The sequence below is a fragment of the Homo sapiens genome, chromosome 10 (genome assembly GCF_000001405.40).
Source record: "Homo sapiens chromosome 10, GRCh38.p14 Primary Assembly".
NCBI lineage: Eukaryota > Metazoa > Chordata > Mammalia > Primates > Hominidae > Homo > Homo sapiens.
In genome coordinates, this window is record NC_000010.11 from 91,758,788 (window position 1) to 91,768,564 (window position 9,777).

Consider the following 9,777-nt stretch of genomic DNA (forward strand, 5'->3'; position numbering starts at 1 on the left):
AACTTGCAGCAGTTTTCAAGTTTTAAAGCTTACCTTTTACAGAGGCAAGCATATATGCAGCCATTTAATAGGCTCACTCCTACAAAATGTTCATGTATTACTTTATTTGTTCACCCCCGCATTGCAAAAAGTCAATATGATAAAAATGTAATGTGTTCTAGAAAATAATGAGAGAAATTTTATTTGTTTCAGGCTGAAAATTTTCTAAAACATGTAAGGAATTTTGCCCTGGAGACTGAAAGACATATATAAAAATTATCTCAGTGTAATTGTTTATATTGTCAGATCAAAAGTTACTTGTTGGTTATAAAAATTGTGTTCTTTAATATTTAAGAAAAGAGATTGGCTATCACTACTTATATTTGGAATTTGTTTCACACCTTTCTCTAGGTCATAAAGGTATTTTAAAGTTAAAATATGATACATTGAATAGAATTTGTTATAAGCTACAATTTCTACTGTATCAAGGAAATTGTTTCTTCCACTCACATGTTTTGTTATTTCCTTAGTATTTGATTCCTTGTTATTTGATTAGTACAAAAATTCAGCACCAAGTGCAGAGAGGATTGGTTGGGTGGTTGGTTGTTTTTCAGTAAACTTTTTATTGAGGTATAACAAAACTAAAGAAAAGTGCACAAATTGTAAGCATATAGCTTGACTGATGTTCGCAAAGTGAAATTAACATAAACGTTTTTGTGCAATTGTATATTTTACCTTTTTAAATTTTATTTGCTATTTGTTTAGTTACATCCAAATAACCAGCACCTAGATCAAGAACTAGAACACTACCAGCCGCCCAGACGTTCCTAATCACCTCACCGAAGTGGTGACCATTATTCTGACATCTAATACCACAGAGATGGCTTTCGCCTGTTTTGAAGTTTATATGACTCATCCCACTTGTTTGGCTTTTCATTGTGTTGATGAGAATCATCTACTTTGTTTTCACTGCTATGCATCACAACTTACTTATTCATGATCATTTGTGTGGTGTCCAGTTTGGAGCTATTATGAATAGTGCTGTTATGAAGTTTCTATATATACACTGAATCAATATGTGTATGCATTTCTTTGAGTGAGCATATACTTAGAAGTGGAATTGCTGAGTCATGACATTTGCATATGTTCAGCTTTAGTAAATACTGCCAATTTTCTGAAGTAGTTGTACCAATCCACACTCCCACAAGCAGGATACGAACTCCACTATTCCATTTCCTCCTCAGCACTTGGTATTGTCAGTCCTTTAAACAGTAGCCATTCTGGTGGGTATATAGTGATATCTCATTATAGTTTTAAATTGCTTTTCCCTGAAAACTAATGAAATTGTTTATATGCTTATTGGTTAAGAATGTTCCAATCTTTTCTTCATTTTGTATAATATTTTCAGGCTAGGTACAATGGCTCATGCCTGTAATCCCAACACTTTGGGAGACCAAGCTGAGAGGATTGCTTGAGCTCAGGAGTTTGAGGCTGAAGTGAGCTATAATTGCACCACTTCCCTCCAGCCTGGGCCATAGGGCAAGACCCTGTTTCCAAAAAAAAACACATATTTTCTATCTTTTCTTTATTAATTTGTGTGAGTCAGTGGTAAGATATAAATATATTATAATTATCTTCTACTCTGGGGCTTGACCAGTTATGGTCTTAACATTATCTTTGATGAGTAAAGTTCAGTTTATTAATTTTATCTTTTATGGTTAGCACATTCTTTAGGTCCTCTTTTTAAAATCTTTGCCCAGATAGTCATCAGACTATCCAAAGTCAGTGTGAAGGAACAAATTCTAAAAGCAGCAAGAGAGAGGCAACTAATCACCTATAAAGAAAATCCTGGCTGGGTGAGGTGGCTCACACCTGTAATCCCAACACTTTGGGAGGCAGACGCAGGCGGAGGCAGGTGGATCACCTGAGGTCAGGAGTTCGAGAGCAGCCTGGCCAACATGGTGAAACTCCATCTCTACTAAAAATACAAAAATTAGCCAGGCATGGTGGTGCGGCCTGTAATCCTAGCTACTAGGGAGGCTGAGGCAGGAGAATTACTTGAACTCAGGAGGTGAAGGTTGCAGTGAGCCGAGATCACACCACTGCAGTCTGGGCTACAGAGCAAGACTCCATCTCAAAAAAAAAAAGAAAATCTCATCAGACTAGCAACTTCTCAGCAGAAATCTTATAAGCTAGAAGAGATTAGGGTCCTATTTTCAGTTCTCTTAAAGAAAAGAACTGCTGGCAATTAGCCAGGCATGGTGGTGTGCACCCATAATCCCAGCTACTTGAGAGGCTGAGGCAGGAGACTTGCTTGAGCCCAGGAGGCGGAGATTGCAGTGAGCCAAGATCACACCACTGCACTCCAGCCTGGGCGACAGAGTAAGACTCCATCTCCAAAAAAAGGAACTGCTGGCCAAGAATTTTTTATCCTACTAAACTAAGCTTTATAAATAAAGAATAACTAAAGTATTTCCCAGACAAGTCAATGCTAAGGAAATCCATCAACACTAGACCAGTTGTACAAAAAATGTTCAAAGGAGTTCTAAACATGGAAATGAAAAGGCAATACTCATCATCATAAAAGCACACAAACGTATAAAGCTCACAGGTCTTATAAAGCAATTTCACAATTGAGACTACAAAGCAACTAGGTAACAATTAACATCATAATGGGAAAAAAATTCATATATCAATATTAACCTTGAATGTAAATGGACTAAATGCTCCACTTAAAAGACATACACTGGAAGAGTGGATAAAAAATAAAATCCAACCAAATACTGCTTACAAGAAACCCACCTAATGGGTAAAGATATTTACAAACTCAAAGTAAAGGAGTGGAAAAAGACATTCCACACAAACAGAAAACAAAGAAAGCAGTAGTGGCTATACTCACATCAGATAAAACAGACTTTAAACCAACAACAGGAAAAAAAGACAAAGAAGGTCATTATAAAATGATAAAAGAATTCAACAAGAAAATGTAACAATTCTAAATATATATGCACCCAACACCAAAGTACCTAGATTCATAAAACAAATACTACTAGACATAAGAAAAGAGATAGACAGCAATACAATAATAATGGGGAATTTCAACACCCCACTGACAGCACTGACAAGGAAGTTTGTAGCTTGCCTACATCAAAAAGACAGGAAGATCTCAAATTAACAACCAAATGTTGCAACTCAAGGAACTAGAAAAACAAGAACAAACCACACCGAAATCTAGCCTAAGAAAAGAAATAACAAAGATCAGAGAAATTGAGATCAAAAAAAGAAACAAAGGATCAACAAAAAGTTGGTTATTTGAAAAGGTAAACAGGCTGATATACTCCTTGCTAGGTTAATCAAGAAAAAAATAGAGAAGATTCAAATAAGCACAATCAGAAATTATAAAGGAGACATTACAATGGACAATACAGAAATACAGAAGATCATCAGAGACTATTATTAGCACCCCTATGTGCACAAACTAGAAAACCTAGAGAAAACAGACAAATTCCTGTAAACATACAACTTCTCAAGATTGAACCAGGAAGACATAGAAATCTTGAGCAGACAAATGGCAAGTAGTTAAACTGAATCAGTAATTTTTTAAAAATCTCCTGACAACAATAACAAAAATCCAGGACAAGAGGGATTCACAGCCAAATTTTGCCAGATGTACAAAGAAGTAGTACCAATCCTACTGAAACTGTTCCAAATGCTGAGGAGGGAATCCTCCCTTACTCATTCTACAAAGCCAGTATCACCCTGATAACAAAGCCAGGCAAGGACACAACAAAAAAAGAAAACTATAGGCCAATATCCCTGATAAACATAGACGCAAAATCCTCAACAAAATACTAGCAAACCAACAGCACATCAAAAAGAACATCATGATGGGTTTTATTCCAAGGATGCAAGGATGGTTCAACATACACAAATCAATAAATGGGATACACCACACTAACAGAATTAAAAACAAAAATCACATGATCATCTCAACAGATGCAGAAAAAGCATTTGATAAAATTCATTATTTCTTCATGATAAAAGCCCTCAACAAACTAGGCATCAAAGGAACATATATCAAAATAATAAAAGCCGTATATGACAAACCCACAGCCAACATCACACTGAATATAGAAAAGCTAAAAGCATTCTCCCTAAGAACTGGAACAAGACAAGGATGCCCACTTTTACCACTCCTATTCAACATGGTAGTGGAATCCTACCTACGGAAAGAAATAAAAGGCATCCAAATTAGAAAGAGGAAGTCAAAGTATCTCTGTTCACTGATGATATGATCTTATCTCTAGAAAAATCCTAACACTCCTCCAAAGAGTTTTAAATTTGATTAATGACTTCAGTCAAATTTCAGGATACAAAATCAAGATACAAAAATCAGCAGCATGTCTATCCACCAATAAAATCAAGCTGAGAACCAAATTAAGAACTCAATCCCTTTTACAGTAGCTAGAAAAATAAAATAAAATACCTAGAAATACATTTAACCAAGGGGGTAAAAGATCTTTATGAGAAGAACTACAAAACACTGATGAAAGAAATTGTAGGTGACACAAACAAATGGAAAAACATCCCATGCTTGTGAATTGGAAAAATCAATATTGTTAAAATGATCATACTATCCAAAACAATCTACATATTAAATGCAATTCCTATCAAATTACCAATGTCATTTGTCATGGAATTAGGGGAAAAAAAATCCTAAAATTCCAATGGAATGCAAAAAGAGCCTGAATAGCCAAAGAAATCCTAAGCAAAGAGAACAAAGCTAGAATAAAGCATCACCTTACCTGACTTGAAATTATACTACGACGCTATATTAACCAAAACACCATGACACTGGTATAAAATAGACACATAGATCAATGGAACAGAACAGAGACCAGGAATAAACGACATCTACAACAGACAAAGTCAACAAAAACATGCACTGCGAAAAAGACACACTTTTCAATAAATGATTCTGGGAACATTGAATAACCATATGCAGAAGAAGGAAACTGGACTCATATCTCTCACCATATGTAAAAATTAACTCAAGATAGATTAAAGACTTAAATATAAGACCTGAAACTATAAAAATCCTAGAAGAACACCTCAGAAAAACTCTTCTAAATGTTGGCCTAGGCAAAGAATTTCTGACTGTCATCAAAAACAAATACAACAAAAACAGATATAGACACATGGGACTTAATTGAACTAAAAGCTTCCATATAGCAAAAGAAATAATTAACAGAGTAAACAGGCAACCTACACAATGGGAAAAAAAATGTTTGTAAACTATGCATCTGACGAAGGGCTAATATCTAGAATCTACAAGGAAATCAAACTCAACAAGAAAAAAATAGATAACCCCATTAAAAATGGGCAAAAGACATGAACAGATATTTTTCAAAAGAAGATTTACAAGCAGCCCACAAACAGGTAAAAAAGCTCAACATCACTAGTCATCATTGAAATGCAAATTAAAACTACAATGAGATACCATCTTACATCAGTCAGAATAGTTATTATTAAAGAGTCAAAAAACAGATATCAGTGAGAATGTGACAAAAAGGGAATGCATATACATTGTTGGTGAGAATGTAAATTGGTACAATCTCTATGGAAAACAGTATGGAGATTTCTCAAATAAAACTGAAAATAGAACTACCATTCAAACCAGCAATACCACTAGATGTCTACCCAAATGAAAAGAAATCATTATATCAAAAAGACACCTGCACTCATATGTTTACTGCAGCACCATTCACAATAACAAAGTCATGAAATAAGTCTAAGTGTTCACCAATAGATGATTGGATAAAGAAAATGTGACATATATATACCATGGAATACTATGCAACCATAAAAATAATGAAATCATGTATTTTGCATCAACATGGATGGAGCTGGAGGCCATTATTCTAAATAAAATAACTCAGAAACAGAAAGTCAAATATAGCATGTTCTCACGTCTAAGTGGGAGTTAAACAGAAGGTATACATGGACATCAGAGGGCAATAATAGACATTGGAGACTCCAAAGGGTGAGAGGGGCCAGGTGCGGTGGCTCACGCCTATAATCCCAGCACTTTGGGAGGCCAAGGCGGTCAGATTGCTTGAGGCCAGTAGTTTGAGACCAGCCTGGCCAACATGGTGAAACCCCACCTCTACTAAAAATACAAAAATTAGCTGGGCATGGTGGCAGATGCCTATAATCCCAGCTTCTTGGGAGGCTGAGGCAGAGAATCACTTGACCCCAGGAGGCAAAGGTTGTAATGAGCCAAGATCATGCCATTGCACTCCAGCCTGGGCGACAGAGTAAGACTCTTGTCTCAAAATAAATAAATAAATAAATTTTTTTAAAGGTGAGAGAGTGGCAGAGGGGGTAAAGGTTGAAAAATTACCTACTGGGTACAATGTTCACTATTCAGGTCATGGGTACACTAAAAGCCTAAAGTTCACCACTACACAATATATCCATGTTACAAAACTGCACTTATACCCCCTAAATCTATGGAAATAATTTTAGAAAATCATTGCCTATTCCAATTTCATGAATATATTCATCTGTGCCTTCTTCTTGGAATTTTTTTTTCAGCCCCCTTGGTCATTGCAAAACAGAAACAAAATTATTCATAAATTGTGGCAGTTCAAGGAACATCTCTGCTGTGTACTTTCTCTTCCCTCTCCTCTCCAGAGGTGGGAGAAGCAAGTCCTCAGAAGATGCTGCAAGTAGCTGGTTGATGGAAGTTTTTCACTTTATTTTCCATAAAACCAAGAATCAATGAGAATTTGTGGGAATGTCCCCTTCCCCAGTTGGGACAATGTATGAGTTGAAGGGGAAGAGTCTCTGTTTACTGGATGGTGCATGTGCAGAGGCCATCGAGAAAAGCTGAGCTTGCTGAGTGGGTACGTTCATTGCTAACCTTGTGTACGCACAAACAGGTTGTGATGTCTTGCAGGCAACATGGCTTCTGATCCTTCCTTTGGATGCAGTAGTCTTTTAAAAAATATATTGTATAATAATAATATGAATTTCTCTCTCTTGGTTGTTTTTTTTTCTGTTTTGTTTGTTTGTGTGTTTTTCTGTTTCGTTTAGGGATGGGAGTAGGAGGGGAGGGGAAGAAAAAATGTCATTTGTCTATTAGATCCTGAACAAACAGAACTCCTGTATGGCTGAGTCCAACCTCCTGCAGCATAGGGAAATTGGGCAGCACTTGCCTGGAAAAATTGGCTTCAATTGGAAGCTTTTCAGGGCTTTTTTTCAAGGAGAATAAGAAGTCATGGATTATTGTTAGAGACTATGAAAAGTGGAATCATCTCTCTACTTGAGAATCACTGTGTAATTTGAAGATAATCTTGACATTTTCAGGGTCATCGGGGAAATTTCAGGGGCAGGCATTCCAACTTCCTTTCCTTTTCCTCATGTAAATTCTGCTACCATCTCTTCTCTGCCAGCTTTTGCTCTTGCACCTCCTCCTCCTTCTGCTGCTTAAGCTCCCACTCCTCCCATTTCTTCATTTCTTTCTCCTGGTCAGCCCTGGGAGAAGCCAGGTAGGCCTCATCCTGCTTTTGTCTCAACACCTGGGTCTGGTTTCTTTCTTCCCTTTCCAGGCATTCTGACACCAGGTAAGTCTGGTTTGTATCCATGATAGATGTCAGTTGGTTAATGAGGTCATCCAGTTGAAGGAGGCCTTCTAGCCATCCCACCACAGTCATCCGCTGATCCTTCAGCATCACCATGGCCAGGAATGGATAGGTGTTCTCTCATAACGCCCGCAAGATCCTGTATCCCTCAGATTTGTTTGTAGAGCATGCCCAGAAGAGCATCCTAGAGAAAGAATTTTAGTGAAATAACTTTGGGTTCACAGAGTGTGTTGCAACAAAACTTATCAGAGACCTGTTGATCATCTCCAAGAAGATAAACCAAAGAGCGAAGCTCCAGCTTGGCATCATTAAGTGCCTGGCTGTGTGTTCTGGGCTAGAAGACAAGGTGTGCCCTCCCATATTTCTATTCAAACGCTAGCATAAATGAAACAATGTACCCAACAGGGTCAGTGATCTGGCTGCGAAGGTCAAGCCATATAAAACAAAGGGCAAACCTAAATATATCAAGTATTGTGTAATAGGTAGACTGGAATGGAAGCATTATCAAGTAATAACCCCATCCAAGCAGACCCCTCGGTTGTGGTCTTGAGACAACATAGCTGTAGATCCTGTGGTCAGCTGTATTAACCTGCAGGGGTGGGGACGGAGGCGGGTTGAAAACACTCCATACACCATCTCGCTCATTCAAGCTGTCCTGTTCAGCAACCTGTATGTTCCAGTTATGCTGTTCCAAGGTCTGGTGATGCTGATCCATAGATTCTATGCCAGTTAGATCCTAAAACTGCAGCAGCTTCTCTGTCTGTTCCTGTGTTAGATCCTGCTTCTCAGACATCGCCTCTATGCTCCTGCAGAGTTTTATTACTTAACCTTTTATATCTATATCTAATATGTCTGCAATTGCTTTTGAGTGAGAGCAGGGTAAAAATTCATTTTCATATGGATATCAAATTGTCCCATCACCACTTATTGAAGACTTTCATTTCATTACTATACTACAGTTTCATATTTGTCATTAATCAGATAACTGCATATATTGTGGGTTTGTTTTTGGATTTTCTATTCTGTTGCATTGGTCTATTTGTCTATCCTCAGGCCCATGAGCTTTGTTATTTTAGCAATATAACAAGTCACGATATCTGGTAGTCTAAGTCCTCAGCCTTCTTCAGAATTGTCTTGACTGTTCTTGGTTCTTTGCATTTCTAGATGAATTTTAGGATAAATTTGTAAATTTCCACAGGAGGAACAAAAACAGCTACTGGGACTGTTAACTAAAATTGAATTAACCAATAAATTCATTTGGAAAAAATTGTTTTGTGATGGATTGATTTAGCTAGGCAATACTATATCTCCCAGAATTCTTTTCCCTGATGGTTTTTGGTTAGGGTGGACCATAGGAGGCCTTTCTTGCAAGAGATTTGGAGAGCAGAAGTAAAGTAGCAGCTATAATTTTTATGTTCACATGTCAGAGCAGGCGTTGTTATAGCTCATGTACATTGTAGCTAATCTCTTGGCTCACCTTTGTTGGTGTGGAAACAACAGTCAGGTTGTAATTGCTCCAAATTACTCTGAATCCTCTTTCAACCCCTCCAACTCCTTAGCAAGTGGCACTAGTTTCTCCTGCTGGACACCCACATCACCAAGGTTAGAGGCAATGAGACTTAAGCTGATCCAGGTTCTGCCTCTGTTCTACCCCCTAATATCCTTCTTTCCTTCTCAATTGTCTGTCATACAGATTTCAAGGTCCAGCATTGGACACAGAGACAACAGCCTTATAGAGGCTGTTTTACCAGCTCCTATATTGTGCAAGGTTAAATTCCTATAACAAATCATACATACATATGCATGTGTTTATATTTATGTATATATATATATAGTGTGTGTGTGTGCACATTGCATTTATGTGTGTACAGTCATGAGTTGCTTAATGATGACGATACATTCTAAGAAATGTGTCATTAAGCAATTTCATCATTGTATAAATATCATAGAGTGTACTTACGCAAACCTAGATGGTACAGCCTACTCCACAGCTAGGTTATATGGTATAGCCTATTGCTCCTAGGCGACAAAGCTGTACAGTATGTTACTGTACTGAATACTCCAGGGAATTGGTAACACAATGATATTTGTGTATCTAAACATATTTAAAGAGCATATGCTTGCTCTACGCTATTACCACTGCTACAGCATC

At 37.4% G+C, this 9,777-nt stretch overlaps 1 pseudogene; it reads right to left on the bottom strand.

Moving 5' to 3' along the window:
- Positions 1-6,914: 6,914 nt before the first annotated feature.
- FAF2P1 (Fas associated factor family member 2 pseudogene 1) lies at positions 6,915-8,433 on the bottom strand (annotated as a pseudogene).